Below are 19,369 nucleotides of genomic sequence, written 5' to 3' on the forward strand. Positions count from 1 at the left end.
AAATTGCAAGGCTAAACACATTTCCAGAACCAGAAATACTTTAGTATACAGGTAAACTTAATCAATAATCTAGAATAAGACTGAGTTTTACTGAAGTAAGAACACTTTCATAGCTCTTAGTTTTTAATAAAATCTCTGCAAAAGCAATTTTATAAAAATTATAACTACTATTTATTGAGTACTCACATGACTTTTATGCAAAATTCATGTACATGTAATTTAATAGTTACAACAAAGCTTTCATAGACACTTAAACACTGGAAGAACTGTATCATATCCTTAGCTTAAGCTATTTGCCAAAGAAAATTCGGGAAGTTAGTAGCTGAACTGGAATTAAAACCCAAGTTTGTATGATTTCTCAGCCTACAATTTTAGCTATATTACTACCACACATTGGCCTAATGTTGTATAATTTGGAACTCTTTTGGTTATGATAAAAAACACTGTACAAACTAAAAGAAGAAAAATTGTTGACTCATGTAACTGGAAAAACTCGGGGTAAAACGGGCTTCAGAAATGGCTCTATATACACTCAAAAATTAGCAGGATGTGGTTTCTCCCTGCTCCTGGTTGAGCTCTCCTCCATGTGCTGGCTTTAATCTCTGGATCTGTAGTAGTAGAATTGCTACAGCAGTGATAGCCTCACATTCTCTCAACTTTAGGTCCAAAGAGAAAGAGAAAGATTCCCTTCCCAGTAGCTCTTAACACTTACCATTATAATCACCCTGATTGGTGCAACTTGAGTCTTACACCCATTTGTTTACAAATCACTGAGGCCAGGATAACTGTGATGATTAACCTAAGCCTAGGTGTAATGTATTCTATCTGTGTATACACTGGATGGAATCCAACCCAAAGGAGTGGATTACTACACTCAAATTGTTAACATTTACCAAAAAGCAGTTGGTGGCTGCTAGAAGACCAATATATAAGACACATCCACCTGAGTGGTGACTAATAGTTGAGATTTTACTATTAAAACAGATTATCCGTTAGCATCAAATGTCTCCTACTTCCTGAAGAAGAAACAAGATTTGTAAAATATACATATGAACTGGGAGAAATAATTGGAATTCAAAATATTCTTGGGATGACGTTGCTCTGGAGGCACAGTATAAGGCAGTATTACTAATCTAAATTGATGCCTGACTTTTATTCACGTGAAAGAAGAGATGTGGATGTGCAGCAGTTGAGAAGGAGGTGTGAGGGATGCTTAGCTTGATTGAGAAAGGTTAATTACATGTGAAATGAGGCTGGGATTCAGAGGATGTTTGCTCTAGATTTTGTGTAATGTTATATTAACACTGAGATTCTCTTTATTCTATTAACAAAATAAACTCATTTTATTTGGTTTCATTTTACAGCTGCTTTCATCCCACTGAACATTTATACTATTATTTAATTTTCCTAAACATTTGTGGATAGTAAAATACCTATAGAATTAAGCAACTGCAGGATATTAAAGACATCCAATTCTTACAGAGATTTGATCTGCTAATTAGCCACGCCAATTTTATGGATCATTGCATCTCACTTAAAATGTATTGTTATACGTTTATAATCTTTCCATAATGAGCTTTTATTAAGTGCATGGGGCCAACTTCTGTGTGATGTACAGGAAAATCCTCTTTCCCTTACCTAAATAATACATTTGCAGACCGAGTAAATCATAGTAACATTCCATTGAAAATGGTCCTCTTGGCATTATTAAATGGCTTATTTGGGACTGAGATAAAAATTACAAATACCTAAGGATGGAAGAGCCAGAGCGGTATCCAAAGAGGCTCAAAGAGATAACCTCAGAGAGGTAACAAAAGAGACAGGTGGAGAAGAGGAAAGTCATCATCTAAGAAATTGAGAGGCAATATAAATTTATGGAGAAAACAAATGGAAGTCAAATTTTCTTTTATTATCACGATGATGTTATCTAGTCTTTTGCATTTCAGCTTTTCAGTTACTTAAATATGATACACTAAAATATTCTAGTTTCTCAACAGGGTTATTAATTTTCAGAATTAATTACTGACTTTTGAAATATATTTTAAAAACTTGAAGTTTGCTGTTCCCTGAAAGGAATGGTCAGGTTGAAATGCTCCTGACAATGTTAAAATTTACCTAAGCACTGTGCTCCTGGAGAACAGTGACGTATAAGTCAGGGTTCTCCAGAGAGACAGAACCTTTATATATACATAAAGGAATTTATTAGGGAGAATTAGCTCACAAGATGAAGCTCCACGATAGGCCATCTGCAAATTTGGGAAAGAAAGAAACTGTTAGTCGCTCAATTTAAGTCCGAAAGCCTCAAAACCAGGGACGCTGACAGTGCAGCCCTCAGTCTGAGGTCAAAGGCCCTTGAGCCCCAACAAGGTTGCTGGTTTAAGTCCCAGAGACTAAAGGCTGAAGAACCTGGAGTTCGATGTCCAAGGGAGGAGGAGGAGGAGGAGGAAGGAGGGAGGGAGGGAGGACGTGGAGGGGGGAGGGGGGAGGGGGGAGGAGAAGGAAGGGGAGGAGGGAGCAGAGAGCAGATTCAGCAAACAGGCTACTTATCCCTTTTCTGCCTGCTTTGTTCTAGCTATACTGGCAGCCAATTGGATGGTGCCCACCCATGATGAGCATGGGTCTTTCTCTCCCAACTCACTAATTCAAATGTCAGTCTCCTCTGGCAGCACCCTCACAGACACACCCCGAAACAATGCTTCATCGGCCATCTAGGCATCCCCCTCAATCCAGTCAAGTTGACACCTAATATGAGCCACCACAAGTGGTGATTAAGAAATTACCCCTTAACATTTTGTGTCCTAAGAAACAGCTTTCTGCAAAGAACTACCCTTTCTTATGTGATTAAGAGGAAACTTATGAGTGACCCCTTGTTTACCTATGCCAAGGCCAGACTCAGACCCTCCAAAATCTTATTATTTGTCTTATAAATAATTAGCTAATATTTTAATATCACCTAGGTATTAAGCCTCACATGCACTAGCTATTTATCCTGATGCTCTCCCTCCCTCTGTCCCCCTGACAGGCCCCAGTGTGGGTTGTTCTCCTCCCTGTGTTCTAATTGTTCAGCTCGCATTTATAAGTAAGAACGTGCAGTCTTTGGTTTTCTATTTCTGCATTAGTTTGCTGAGGATAATGGCTTTCAGCTCCAATCATGTCCCTGCAAAGGACATGATCTCATTATTTTTATGGCTGCATAGTATTCCATGGTGTATATGTACCACACTTTCTTTATCCAGTATATTACTGAGGGGCATTTGGGTTGAATCCATGTCTTTGGAATTGTGAATAGTGCTGCAGTAAACATACATGTGCATGTATCTTTATAGTAGAATGATTTATATTTCTTTGGGTATATACGCAGTAATGGGTGTGCTGGGTCAGATGGTATTTCTGGTTCTAGATCTTTGAGGAATCGCCACACTGTCTTCCACAATGGTTGAACTAATCTACATTCCCATCAACAGTGTAAAAGCGTTCCTATTTCTCCACAGCCTCTCCAGCATCTGTTGTTTCCTGACTTTTTAATGATCACCATTCTAACTGGCATGAGATGATATCTCTTGTGGTTTTGATTTGCATTTCTCTGATGACCAGTGATGATGAATATTTTTTCATGTGTCTGTTGGCTGCAAAAATGTCTTCTTTTGACAAGTATCTGTTCATATCCTTTGCCCACTTCTTGATGGGGTTGTTTTTTTCTTGTAAATTTGTTTGAGTTCTTCATAGATTCTGGATATTAGCCCTTTGCCAGATGGGTAGATTGCAAAAATTTTCTCCCATTCTGCAGGTTGCCTGTTCACTCTGACGGTAGTTTCTTTTGCTGTGCAGAAGCTCTTTAGTTTAATTAGATCCCATTTGTCTGTTTTGGCTTTTGTTGCTATTGATTTTGGTGTTTTAGTCATGAAGTCTTTGCTTATGCCTCTGTCCTGAATGGTATTGCCTAGGTTTTCTTATATGATTTTTATGGTTAAAAGACTTGACATAAGTAGCATGGACTAAATATTTTAGGGAGAGGTAACAACCTGGAAGTTCTTGCACTTGGCTTGTTACATAGAAGCATATTGATTGGCTTATATATTGTTTCAAAATTGAATACTTGCCAACATTTATTTCACAGATTTCAGAAGAACATTCCTATTTTTGGATCTCTTAAGGCATCATATGATAAAGTAACCTTCAGCCCGTGTTCTGTCCTTGCCCCAAATGACAGGAGTAGAGCCACACTTGGACCTTTGGGTGGCGCCTGTATTCCCACATTCACCAGCCCAGGCCTACTTCACTCATTTGTGTGACTGCCTGCCCATGTGGCCATTTGAGTGTGTTACCTGCCATGGTGTACTCTAATCAAAATAGACTCCTATTACTGATGAATACATACTGCCTCACACACATACACACTACTGAAATGGCCAAAGTAAACTGTTTTACTGGAATTTCCTTCTTTTATGAGCTCTTTCAGGTCAGGAGCTAATTACCCTTTACCCTTTGTCCTTTACATTCACTCTGGTGAAAACCACACTCCCAAGCTGCTTTATGGCTTCTAATCTAATTGAAGGCAACACTAGGGGCATCCTGCATGGGATTAATCTCTCAAGCAGGTCTCACCATGAATAACCCTTCCATGAACTGACAGCCTTCCTCTCATGGGTTCTGTTCAAGCCATTTTCCTGGGAGCCACGTTGCCTGCTTCTCTGCAAAATAAAGGGACCATATTAATAATTCGAATCTTAGCCCAATCTGTCATAATTGGGAGAAAGTCTCACCCTTCATAACCTTATAAACCACTGAGAAAATCAGCATCTATCTGATTTACAATTTATTTCTTAGTATAATAATATTGAAACTTGGAGTAATACTCAAGGTATTATTAATAATTAGCTATAAAAAAGTTAAAATACAATTAATGCTTTTTTAATTGGAAGAATCACAGAACATTTTTTAAGAGCATTACCTTTGAAGAGAGGAATAGGGAAGGAAGGAGGGATGATAACTGGAGGAGACTGCTTACACTTTATAACGTTAGAATTCTTACTTCCTGTATCTATAACATAAAAATTCATTAATACAGAAATATTTGGATGAGAAGATTTAGGGTACTTTAAAAATTTTTTAAAGATACAATGTAAAGTAAGATACAATAAGGTATATAATAATGTATATAATTTTATTTGTGTAACAAAAACTTTACCTTGTGTACATATGCACATGTAAAAGCATTGAAAATGGAAAGAATGACACAAAATTAAGATGATCAGTGAAAGGGGAGACATGAAACAGAAAACAAAAAGAGAACATCACATTCACTTTCAGTACTTTCATACTGCTTTGTTTCTGAATTTCCTATGTTACTCGTGTAATTTTTAAAAGTAATTAAAAATTAGATGCAAGTCATAACCTTTGACCCAATAATTCCATTACTGAAAATATTCTTTAATTATTCTCACGCTAGCTGACCAAAAAAAAGTATCATGCATATAAATACCTCAGGAAAATATTTTAGTTTTGAAAAATTAAAAATAATTTAAATATATAATTATAAAACACCTGTTAATTATAACAAATCCACAAAATGCAACGTTGCTTAGTCGTTAAAAATCCTGATGACCAAGAATATGTAATGTCGTGGAAACATTTGTGCTTTAGCAAGTGAAAAAAAGTGGAGTGCAAAATTAAATATTCAACTTGGTAATAAAATGAGACAATTACAAAAATACTAGAGGACACATCAAATGCTAATGTGATTGTGTTTCACAAAGCATGGTTTGAAATAAGAACTTTTGATACCTTCCAAAGTCATCTGGTCCACTGCGCATCCTGTAACAAGAACATGAAATATCCTGGGGCCAAAAGATACAAAACTGTTTGTTTAGTATCTAGAGAATTAGACTTTTATCTATTGCAACCAACTTTAAATTTATGTCCAAATATGCTTGTGATATCTGATGTTCAACTTAATATGTAAGTTTTATGAGCTTTTAATACGTAAGTTGAACATCAGAAACAAGTGGAATTTTGAACAGCCACAAAATTTCTGTACACATATTTCAGTATGAATTTATATATAAAGAAAGAGTAAAGCCTCCTGTGCAGGCAAAGAGCAAGTAGAAATTCATCTCACCCCTAGGAATTCTATTTGGTAATGGCAAAATATGCTTTCTCTATAATCACAGGTAAATTCATTGCCAAACTCCTGTCAAATGACTTCTGTTGTATTAGAATGAGCCTATTACTGCTCTGTTTTGCTTTCCTCTTAAATGTGTTTCCATTTTAGTGTTCTTCTTTCTTCCGCCTTTGTTATTTTTCTGTTAACAATGGTGAGAAAGGAGCACCTTTCAGTCATTAGTAATATTCCAGAAAATTTAAGCAAGATTTTTATTTTCAAGGATTTATAGTCACATTCCTGCTATAGAAAGAGTCCAGTTCTAAGTTTTCTGATTTGTCCACTCATAATGTGAAGCTACATAGAGAGCTGCGAGCCTGAAAAAACTTCTCATGAACTCAAAAATCTCATCTGGTCACCCGAGGCTTACCAGTCTCTTCTCCTATGAGTTCTTGCCTCTCCCATATGAAACCCCTATACTCTTGCTCTATTTTAATGTTTGATTAATGATGAAGTGGGATCTGAATGACAATCCAGAAAATGTTCCATAAGCAATTGACTCTTCCGTATCCTTGATCTTCTTCTCTTACCCTGCAGTCTGTCCCCAGGTAAAACCCAGAACTTGCTGCCAGGCACTTTTCTGCAAAGTTTAGCTATTGTTAGTATGTATTTGCTGCAAGTATTCCTTTTTCTTTTTTACATAGTTATGTATTACTTTGAATTTTTTGCAATATAAGCTAAGTTTTAGGTCACAATTTGAATTAGAAGGGTTCCAGACCTTTACCAGGAGAATAGATTTAACCTCTTAATATCTCTCTTTGTGGGCCTGTGAGGAAGCCCTATAAACTACCAAATGACTAAAAATTGAATAATTCTTATTTTTGCAGACATAATTAGATTTCAGTTTATACCTAGGTAATTAAATCACATTCTGATTTTAGAAATATAATTTTATTTTTTTCATCAAAATAAGCAGTATAATTGGTACCTTTTTAATAGTCCTCATACTATGTAATATATTTCACGACCACTTTACTTTTCTCAATTGTCATTTTTATTCCATTTTTAGGTTCATTAAACCATGCATACATGCAAAAAATTATAGAGTCTCACTCTGGAGGCACACAGATGATCAAATAAATTAAGTGAATCCTTTGCTACTTAACTTCTACTGCTGATACTTAACAATTGTTGTTTAGAAATAAATTAAACATATTTTTAAATGCCATCTGGTTTATCACCTTAAAAATCTACATCTTCTTGATATCTGAAAATAAGTGTTAAAATATAAAGCAACTCCTTGAAAGTCAAATCATGTTGCTAACTAAAGAAATATCACGTCAAATATTTGATTCCCAATGTAAGGAACAGTAGAAACTCACTGAGATGTTCAGAGCAATTTAAGTGTGTTGAAGGTGTTGATTGCCTCTTCAGAAAACAATCATTGCCTAAAAGACCTGGGAAAAATACCCAGTAGTTTTGGAAAACACACATTTTTCCATGCATCATGAATAAAAGAGAAGTTCCTAGGAAAAATGGAAGAAGGTATCATTTTATTGCACATGCAGCTTAAAGTGAAATGGAATGGTGAGTGGCTGTTTATGCTGAGACCCTTTGCCAGAGTTTGATTCTGTCCCACAGTGAAGGCTATGTTCCACAGCAAAACAAACTCTCAGTGTACAGTAGGTCAAGAAAAAATAATCCAGTCTCATAGGTTTTTCTTCGTTTTATAGAAAAATACAGTCCCATCTCAACAAATGAGCTGTGTTAATACATAAGAATAAGAAGGTATGTATATTAGTGCATACAGTATTCAATACACTGAAAATTAAAGGACTATCCTGATTTTATTAAGTGATAGGACAGTTTAACACTGACAATTTGATATGGAGAAAAGGGTATAGAGGTACAGGTGTTCTCCATTAACCTAATGATTCTTTGCTTTCATCACTTTCTGCATGGTTGACATTTGCATTTTAAGAGAAGGAAAAGAATCAAACCAGACTCTTCAGTAGATGATTTACATATTAGTATAAATTAGAGAAAGAGACTTCATGTGGAGGCAAAAAATGAGTGGCCAGGGAATTAAGACTCCCTCCTCTAAAGGCACATTAGTGTGTATCATAAGTGGCTGGTTGGCTTGTTGTGCACATATCTTTATATCAAGGTCAGATGAAAGCGTTTTTTTGAGGGCCAGGGCGGTGGCTCATGCCTGTAATCCCAACTCTTTGGGAGGGCGAGGTGGACGGATCACTTGAGGTCAGGAGTTCGAGACCAGCCTGACCAACATGTTAAAACCCCATCCTACTATTCATAAAAATACAAAAATCAGCCCGACCTGGTGGCACATGCCTGTAGTCCCAGCTACTCACAAGGCTGAGGCAGGACAATCACTTGAACCAAGGAGGCAGAGGTTGCAGTGAGCAGACATCGCACCACTGCACTCCAGCCTGGGCAACAGAGCAAGCCTTCATCTAAAAAAAAAAAAAAAAAAAAAAAGTTTTTGTGAAATACAATGAAAAAATATAAGTAGAAAATCACCTACGAGATCTTTTAAGCCTCTAGGGCAGTATTAAGACACAATGTTAATGTTTTGTTTTGTTCAAAACCATGCACTATTTATAAGATAATAATAATGATAAAACCAAGACAAGGTTTATGTTACTGAATTTACTTTTTTGTAAAGAAAAGTGTTATCTAATGCCTTATTCAGAAGTCTTTTTACATGCAAAGATGGAATAGAGGCTTTTTTTTTTCTTTCAGTAAGAAATCATTAATATATTCAAGGTTTAACTTTCCTTTTACAAGTGTTTCTGAGTGTACCATATGGCACCAGTTAGTTTTGAAGGTTTTCATTTGCTTTTTAAAAATCTGAGTGAGGTTTCCTTTCATAAGCTCATACATACTGGTTATTTTCTAATAAGCATAAAACTTCTATATAACACCAAATGCATGATTTAACAGGAAGGAATAAAAAATACATGGCAATATAACAATTGGCTCATTTAGTTAGGAGCTCCTTTGAAGCTTAATAGTAAAGGATAAGCAGTCATTAGCTTATTAGCTCAAGTTGGACTCAGTACTAATTTTTTTTTTAAATAAGTGCTGGAATACATATCTTGACGAATTGTAAAATGCCTATCCCCTTTCCAGTGCCCCCTCCCTAGTTCTTTATTCACAAAGAGGAGTGAGCTATTTCCTGCCAACTGAGTCAGTTGGAATGGAAACGTTAATGTATTTGAGCAGATGTGTGTCAACATCACTTTGTAAAAAGGTTGCCTGTGCCCTTCATTGGCACACATCATCTCAGAATAAAAGACACTAAAATTATGTACTTCTGTTAGAACTCTCCTATGAAGGCCGGGCAAGGTGGCTCATGCCTGTAATCCCAGCACTTTGGGAGGCCGAGGCAGGTGGATCACAAGGTCAGGAAATCGAGACCATCCTGGCTAACACGGTGAAACCCCGTCTTTACTAAAAATACAAAAAATTAGCCGGGCGTGGTGGCGGGCGCCTGTAGTCCCAGCTACTCAGGAGGCTGAAGCAGGAGAATGGCGTGAACCCGGGAGGTGGAGCTTGCGGTGAGCCGAGATCGCGCCACTGACTTCCAGCCTGGGGGCAGAGCAAGACTCCGTCAAAAAAAAAAAGAAAAAAAGAAAACTCTCCTATGAAAACGAGGTTGAGGACTATAATACAGATGGTTTGAAGATTTACATGTACTTCCTGAAATTGTTCACTGGCAGGCCCTGCTGACTGTAATGAAAGAAAAAGAGTTTCGACAATATCAGTAGATATCATCCGAATACAAACTTTAGGGAATGTGAATGGGATCTGCGTTAACTAATAAGCCAGTCTTTTTTTGAGCCTTATCATATTTTTCATGAAAGAACTAGTGTGATAACCTACTCTAGATAAAGGTGTTTAGATAAATTGTTTCCTGTTCAAGTTTGAGGGCCTATTTTTTTTTCTACCAGATTTTCATTTTCATTTATGTTAATTTCTAAACGGAATATTCTTATACTGTATAATTTGTCAGTTTTTGACCTACACTTTTTTCCCCAGTAAAGGCAGTAGATTAAGATTGTATCTAAATATAGTTTAAAGGGATAAATGGCATAAACTAGGTTCACCTGACTTTTATAATTTTATCTACCTGTATATTCAATAAATATTAATTGAGCACATATTTGCTATGCATCATTTGAAATTATATGACTGACATGGAGGCTGCAAGAAAAATACAGTACATTAAAAAGGGCAGTTATAATGACAGGAATTATGCTAGAGGTAGGTACACAAAGTTACAACAGCAAACAGCAGCTTACTCAAAAAGACATAACTTTAGTGAACCTTTGAAAATGAGTAGAAGCTTTCTTGGTAGAAAAGAAAAGAAAGATGGGAGAAACTTGAAGGTGGTGAGAGAACATCATACAAAAAAGAAACAATTGGAGCTAATGTGGCTTGAATATCAGTTTGGTAGATTAACGTGGAAGTAAGTGAAGGGAAAGTTGCAGATTTTTGAAGGCATTATATATTGTCTTGGTCTTTATCCAAGCAGCAGAAAAGCATTAGAGGATTTTAATCATAGGAGTAACACAATTAGATAGCAGCCGTGTAGAGGGCAGGTTAGCAAGAATGAGACAAGCTACAGGAAGCCACTGCTGTAGTTCACATAAAAAAATAAAGGGAACTTGAGAAAACCAATGACAGTGGAGAAAGGTAGAGAAGATGTGTAAAAGGAAGAAAGGAGAGAATGTGGTGACAAGGTGTCAAGCAGAGAGGGAGTTTTCTGGGATGTCTTCCATTCTGAGCAGGTGGTAATACTAATCTCCAAATTGGTGAATATGGGAAAAGGAGCAGATTTAGGAGTTTATTACAGGCAGGAGAGGGGAGTGTGTAGACAATGATTTTACACATTAAGTATAAGATGCCTCTAAAACGTACAGAACAGATATTCAGTAGGCGTTTGTGTAGATGTGTCTTCAAGAAAGAAGTCAGAGATGTGGGAGGATCTTTAGCATATAAATAGTAATAGTTAGGATTCAGTAAAAGATTTAGAGCAAACCTCATAAGAAGAGTGTGTAGAGTGAGAAGAAGGGAGTGCCAAGGGCATGCTGCTTGGAAAACCAATATTTAAAGGGAAATTAAACAAACTAAGTGTGTCAAGGAACAAGAAAGATAAAGGCAAAGGAGGTAGCACAGACATATGGAAAGAGTGGCATTATGGAAGTTAAAATTGTAAAAAAATCCAAGACAGAAAGAGTGATTAATTGTATTAAATATCTAGACTGAAGTCTAACAACATAAAGCTCATGTTGAGTATGTCATTGGTGACTTTGGAGAGATGGGTTTCAGCAGAGTAGGAGTAGCAGAAATCAGCCTATGGTGCACAAAAGAATGAACAGGGAGTTTCAAAATGTTGGAAGATAAAAATAATATAGATTTCTAAAAATTAAGTTAATGTATTAAATAATAAATTATGACTACAGAATTTTCCCACACTTTCTGGAAAAAACTATGAGAGAAATGAGAGAGGGAGCAAATATTCCCTAGGATTTCTTATAAGAGAAGTTCTTTCCTTTAAATTTACTAAAACATTTATCTGAAAATCAGAAGCAGACAATTTTGTTAAGACCAATGAAACAAAGGCCTTTTCTGCATCTATTGAGATAATCATGTGGTTTTTGTCTTTGGTTCTGTTTATATGCTGGATTACATTTATTGATTTGCGTATATTGAACCAGCCTTGCATCCCAAGGATGAAGCCCACCTGATCATGGTGGATAAGCTTTTTGATGTGCTGCTGGATTCGGTTTGCCAGTATTTAATTGAGGATTTTTGCATCAATGTTCATCAAGGATATTGGTCTAAAATTCTCTTTTTTGGTTGTGTCTCTGCCAGGCTTTGGTATCAGGATGCTGCTGGCCTCATAAAATGAGTTAGGGAGGATTCCCTCTTTTTCTATTGATTGGAATAGTTTCAGAAGGAATGGTACCAGTTCCTCCTTGTATCTCTGGTAGAATTCGGCTGTGAATCTATCTGCTCCTGGACTCTTTTTGGTTGGTAAGCTATTGATTATTGCCACAATTTCAGCTCCTGTTATTGGTCTATTCAGAGATTCAACTTCTTTCTGGTTTAGTCTTGGGAGAGTGTATGTGTCGAGGAATTTATCCATTTCTTCTAGATTTTCTAGTTTATTTGCGTAGAGGTGTTTGTAATATTCTCTGATGGTAGTTTGTATTTCTGTGGGATTGGTGGTGATATCCCCTTTATCATTTTTTGTTGCGTCTATTTGATTCTTCTCTCTTTTTTTGTTTATTAGTCACGCTAGCGGTCTATCAATTTTGTTGATCCTTTCAAAAAAGCAGCTCCTGGATTCATTAATTTTTTGGAGGGTTTTTTGTGTCTCTATTTCCTTCAGTAGTGCTCTGATTTTAGTTATTTCTTGCCTTCTGCTAGCTTTTCAATGTGTTTGCTCTTGCTTTTCTAGTTCTTTTAATTGTGATGTTAGGGTGTCAATTTTGGATCTTTGACAAAATTCAACAACCCTTCATGCTAAAAACTCTCAATAAATTAGGTATTGATGGGACGTATCTCAAAATAATAAGAGCTATCTATGACAAACCCACAGCCAATATCATACTGAATGGGCAAAAACTGGAAGCATTCCCTTTGAAAACTGGCACAAGACAGGGATGCCCTCTCTCACCACTCCTATTCAACATAGTGTTGGAAGTTCTGGCCAGGGCCATTAGGCAGGAGAAGGAAATAAAGGGTATTCAATTAGGAAATGAGGAAGTCAAATTGTTCCTGTTTGCAGATGACATGATTGTATATCTAGAAAACCCCATTGTCTCAGCCCAAAATCTCCTTAAGCTGATAAGCAACTTCAGCAAAGTCTCAGGATACAACATCAATGTACAAAAATCACAAGCATTCTTATACACCAACAACAGACAAACAGAGCCAAATCATGAGTGAACTCCCATTCACAGTTGCTTCAAAGAGAATAAAATACCTAGGAATCCAACTTACAAGGGATGTGAAGGACCTCTTCAAGGAGAACTACAAACCACTGCTCAATGAAATAAAAGAGGATACAAAGAAATGGAAGAACATTCCATGCTCATGGGTAGGAAGAATCAATATCATGAAAATGGCCATACTGCCCAAGGTAATTTATAGATTCAATGCCATCTCCATCAAACTACCAATGACTTTCTTCACAGAATTGGAAAAAACTACTTTAAAGTTCATATGGAACCAAAAAAGAGCCCACATGGCCAAGTCAATCCTAAGCCAAAAGAACAAAGCTGGCGGCATCACACTACCTGACTTCAAACTATACTACAAGGCTACAGTAACCAAAACAGCATGGTACTGGTACCAAAACAGAGATATAGATCAGTGGAACAGAACAGAGCCCTCAGAAATAACGCCGCATATCTACAACCATCTGATCTTTGACAAACCTGAGAAAAACAAGCAATGGGGAAAGGATTCCCTATTTAATAAATGGTGCTGGGAAAACTGGCTAGCCATATGTAGAAAGCTGAAACTGGATCCCTTCCTTACAGCTTATACAAAAATCAATTCAAGATGGATTAAAGACTTCAACGTTAGACCTAAAACCATAAAAACCCTAGAAGAAAACCTAGGCATTACCATTCAGGACATAGGCATGGGCAAGGACTTCATGTCTAAAACACCAAAAGCAATGGCAACAAAAGCCAAAATTGACAAATGGGATCTAATTAAACTAAAGAGCTTCTACACAGCAAAAGAAACTACCATCAGAGTGAACAGGCAACCTACAAAATGGGAGAAAATTTTCACAACCTACTCATCTGACAAAGGGCTAATATCCAGAATCTACAATGAACTCAAACAAATTTACAAGAAAAAAACAAACAACCCCATCAAAAAGTGGGTGAAGGACATGAACAGACACTTCTCAAAAGAAGACCTTTATGCAGCCAAAAAACACATGAAAAAATGCTCATCGTCTCTGGCCATCAGAGAAATGCAAATCAAAACCACAGTGAGATATCATCTCGCACCAGTTAGAATGGCAATCATTAAAAAGTCAGGAAACAACAGGTGCTGGAGAGGATGTGGAGAAATAGGAACACTTTTACACTGTTGGTGGGACTGTAAACTAGTTCAACCATTGTGGAAGTCAGTGTGGCGATTCCTCAGGGATCTAGAACTAGAAATACCATTTGACCCAGCCATCCCATTACTGGGTATATACCCAAAGGACTATAAATCATGCTGCTATAAAGACGTATGCACATGTATGTTTACTGCGGCACTATTCACAATAGCAAAGACTTGGAACCAACCCAAATGTCCACCAATGATAGACTGGATTAAGAAAATGTGGCACATATACAGCATGGAATACTATGCAGCCATAAAAAATGATGAGTTCATGTCCTTTGTAGGGACATGGATGAAATTGGAAATCATCATTCTCAGTAAACTATTGCAAGAACAAAAAACCAAACACCGCATATTCTCACTCATAGGTAGGAATTGAACAATGAGAACACATGGACACAGGAAGGGGAACATCACACTCTGGGGACTGTTGTGGGGTGGGGGGAGGGGGGAGGGATAGCATTGGGAGATATACCTAATGCTAGATGATGAGTTAGTGGGTGCAGCGCACCAGCGTGGCACATGTATACATATGTAACTAACCTGCACATTGTGCACATGTACCCTAAAATTTAAAGTATAATAATAAAAAAAGTATAAAAATTAAAAATAAAAGACCAATGAAACAAAAGGAGAAATGACTTACAGAGGAAATGAGGAGGAAGTCAAGATAAATGAAGGATGCAGTGGGTGTGAGAGACAGAGCTAAGATGGATGAGTTTAAGATTTCAGAAATAAGCATGTTCTCTTTAAGGTAGCCATGAATACAAATTGTCAAAGTGGAATAGAAAAAAAAATGATATTTGAGCTGAAAAGATGAAGGATTGGGATTCTAAAGTGGTAGCTTCACAAGTATTTTTGGAGTCTCCTAAAATGATGGGGAAAACTCTTACACAAAATATGTTAATGCCGATACCAAAGTTACCAAAGTTTGTGGGAAGCCAAAAATAAAGTAAGTAAATGATAAAGAGTGGTCTTATGGGAAAGAAAAGATGGCAGCACAAACAAAGAACTAGAACATCGCTGGCCCTATGTTCCTGGCCAAGGGTAGGCATGCTGTGAATGCAGAGGAATTTTTAGTAATGAGGGTTGAAATAGGGGCCACAACTTAGTTTTATAGCCACACTTTGGTAAGCTATGCAGGAAGAAAGAAGGCCCTATGATGTGTTTAATGATTTGTTAAAAAAAAGAAATGGTGATCTAAGAGGATACCAATTAGTGTAAAACAAGCAACAAACTATTTATTGTCTTATTCTGTTTTATGCTGCTATAGCAGAATACCACAGACTGGGTAATTTATAATAACCAGAAATTTACTGACTCATGATTTTGGAGGCTGCAAAGTCCAAGACTGAGGGGCCAGCATCTTGTAAGGGCCTTCTTGCATCGCCTCATGGTGAAAGGGCAAAGAGAATGCAAGGGTGAGCAAGAGATTGAACTTGCAGCCTCAAGTCCCTTATAATTGGCATTAATCCATTCATGAAGCCAGAGCCCTCATGACCTAAACACCTACCATTAGGCCCCACCTCCCAACACTGTTGCATTGGGCATTAAGTTTTCAACACATGCTTTTGGGAGTTTACATTCAAACCATAGCAGCTGTACTCTTTAAAGTAAAATTTGTCTCTATCCAATAAAGCTATTAGGGGCATTGTTGATTACTTTCACTTCAAAGAGGTTAGAATTTCCTTCATTGTATTACAGTCATTCATTGCTTAATGATGGGGATATGTTCTGAAAAATATGTCTTTAGGCAATTTTGTCATTGTGTGAACATCATAGAGTGTACTTACCCAAATTTAGGTGGTACAACCAACTATATGTGTAAGCTATATGATATAGCCTATTGCTCTTAGGGTACAAACCTGTACAGTATGTTACTGTACTGACCGCTGCAGGCAATTGTAACACAATGGTAAGTATTTGTATATTTGAACATATTTAAGCATAGAAAAGGTTCAGTAAAAACCTGGTATAAAAGATAAAAAATGGTACACCTGCACCATTTTTCATGGCACTTATTGTGAATGGAGCTTGAGGACTGCAAGTTGCTCTGGTGCGTCAGTGAGTGAATGATGAGTAAATGTGAAGCCCTAGGACATTACTGCATGCTGCTTTAGGCTTTATAAACACTGTATACAAACATACATATTAGCCCAGGCCTACACAGGGTCAGAATCATCAATATCACTGTCTTTCACCTCCATCTCTTGTCTCACTGGAAGGTCTTCAGGGGCAGTAACACTCAAGGAGCCTGTCATTGCCTATGATAATATAACAATGCCTTCTTCTGGAATACCTCCTGAAGGACCCAAGTGAGTCTGCTGTATAGTTAACTTTATTTTTTTTATAAGTCACTGGAGTGTACTCTAAAATAAGGATAAAAAGTATTGTATAGTAAATACATAAACCAGTTACATATTTATTATCATTATCAGGTATTATGTACTATACATAATTGTATACATAATTGTGCTAGACTTTTATAGGACTGGCAGCACAATGGGTTTGTTTACACCAGCATCACCACAAACATGTGAATAATGCATTACACTATGATGTTACAAATGCTACAGTATCACTAGGTGATAGGGAATTTTTAGCTTCATTATACTCTTGTGGGACCACCATGGTATATATGATCTGTCATTGACCAAAATGTCATTATGCGGTGCATGAGTGTAATATCTACTGAAAACTTACTAATCATTCTTGGGTAGTTTCAATAAATAGAACAGCCTAAAATGTAGTCCATGCAGTTTTTGATTCAGATTGTTGATTCTCAGAGTTTAGGGGATCCAGGTGGCCTGGTTTATCCCATTATATATTTAGAAGTTACAAGTAAGCTGCGTTCCCAAGACTTTCAGATACACTGTTTAGAAATGTTATTGCTAGCAGTAATAATCAAATTTATTCTGAGACTTGATAAAATTCAATTATACACAGGGGTTGCTGCTAGCAAATTAAAAGATATTTTTTATTGAAACCATTATTAAACAACTAGTATAACTGGCCTTTGACTTTTTTATGTTGAGTCTCTTATTCTATAGATTAAACCCATTAAAATTTTCTCCTTCTTTTAAGGCAGGCACCCCATTAAGCTATTCAACCTTCAAACTACACTTTGCGATCTGCTTAGTTCAAATGGTTGTGTGGATTCATCTCTTGTTAAGCTTTAGTAAGCTTGCACCAACACAGCATTTTAACCTCTAAACACAGGAAAAGCAACAAACAGGTGAAGATCAACAAACACTGCAGGAAGATTTTAAATGACTAATCAGATGGAAGAAATATCTAAAAGGAGCAGGAAGGAAAACAGAATGTCAACTGTTGTAGCCGCAAGCTTGAGAAGGTGAGAATAGATGGCTGCCTGCCAAGAAAACCTCAGGCCCTGTAAATTAAACATGTTATTACAAACAGAATCACTGGTGCACATGCGTGTGCACACACACGTACGCACACACATGAGGAAGCAATGGCAAGTTTCTAAAAGGGATTTGTAAAAGAAAACCTTTATGGTTTTGCTGGGGAACTTCCACACCCTAGAATTAGACTGAAGAGAAAGTATTACAATGTTCAGTAAGATACAACGAGCTAGAAAATGGATTTTAGAATCAGAAAGATGAGAGTCAAAGTCTTGCTTCCATCACGAAATGATTGGTTACGTGCACAAGTTCTTTAACTTTCTAAGCTTATACTTCCTCAGTTTTAAAATGGGGATTAAGCACAGTTTCTATGTCTGGGGCTCTTATGAAATTTGAACATGGGCACACAGGAAGGACTTCCAACTGAGCTGGACACGGAGGACGCACTTTCCATGTGCTAGCAATTGTCAATTAATACGATTCCTTTGTTTCCTTGGTACCCATTTCCAAATGCGTTCCACTTTTCCTTTAAAGGAGTATCTTTAACTCTCAGGTAAGTTTGTCTTGTCTTTCAAATACCGTTCTAGTTTATCCTTCCCCACGGCACAAGTCTCCATATAATTTAGATTTCTCTATTCCCAAGTAAGAAAGCCTTTTTCCTGTCCTAAATTTTTTCCTCTTTTCTTCCAAGTACCCTCTCCCCTTCTCTCTGGTCATTCATCAGTTGTCTTCTTTGATGACCCATTTCATTCTTTTCCTAAAATCCAAGTGCTTTCTTTATTGAACTCCTATGTTGGTCATTTATTTAGCCATTTTAAAATTTCTATAACATGTACAAATTTAATCAGAAAGATACTTTATTGGTCAATAAACCAGTTTATTTTTGAATGTATACCTACAAGCAGTTGTATATTCAATACTTAAGCTGTAGACATTTTCATAATTTTGGCCTTATTATGATGCAAACAAACTCAAGGCCTTTTGAATATACTGTAAATGCTCCTTCCCTCCAGCTTATTAGAGTTTTAGTGAAAGTTTGTGGTTTTCCAATTATACACTTTTACACAAACGTTTGTTTAAATTTGTCAGTTATGTCAATAATAAGATAAAAGTAAATACATTTCATTATTCTGCAAATATTTTTGTGCCCCTACTATTTACCAGACACTGTTCTAGGCTCTGGAAATGTAACAGTGAACCAGACAGATATATTCGTATAAGTAAATGAATGATTAATAAGATATTTTCAGATTATGGTGAATGCAATAACAAAAATAAAACAAGTGGACAAACTTATGATTGAAGAAGTGGGAAGGTTGGATAGAGTGGTTAAGATAGTCTTAGATGTGGAGATGACATTTGAGCTAAACCCTGTATGACAGAAGGGTACATCAGTAAGTGGAAAAGGTCGGGGGCAAAGTTAACCGTGTATGCTCAAGAAAGCCAGCTAAGCGTATGGTATAAGGAATATATTTTAGGAGCAAGATCCTGAAGGAAAACATTTTAGGAATCAGATCATATAGGACTTTGTAAGCCTCTGCAGCAGGAAGAAGCCATTGGGTTCTGCAAAGGAGGATCTATAGGATCTATATTTTTCAAAGATCTCTCTGGACGCTATATGGAGAAAAATTAGAAGAGAACAAAGATAGAATCAAGGAGATCATTTAATAGGATATTTCAAAAGTTCAGGTGCCAGACTATAGTAGCTTGGACTGAGATATAGCAGTAAAAATGCTGAAAA

The 19,369-nt window shown here is 36.7% G+C and overlaps 1 long non-coding RNA gene across 2 annotated transcripts in view; it reads right to left on the reverse strand.

The window, feature by feature from the left end:
- The window catches only part of LOC105373710 (uncharacterized), an 87,864-nt gene that overhangs the window by 13,846 nt on the left and 54,649 nt on the right, over positions 1-19,369 (reverse strand). For both annotated transcript variants that reach the window (XR_923510.3, XR_923509.3), the window contains exon 2: positions 4,606-4,691. This is a non-coding gene — a long non-coding RNA (uncharacterized LOC105373710). The remainder of the gene's footprint in view (positions 1-4,605; positions 4,692-19,369) is intronic.

The sequence above is a fragment of the Homo sapiens genome, chromosome 2 (genome assembly GCF_000001405.40).
Source record: "Homo sapiens chromosome 2, GRCh38.p14 Primary Assembly".
Taxonomy (NCBI): Eukaryota; Metazoa; Chordata; class Mammalia; order Primates; family Hominidae; genus Homo; species Homo sapiens.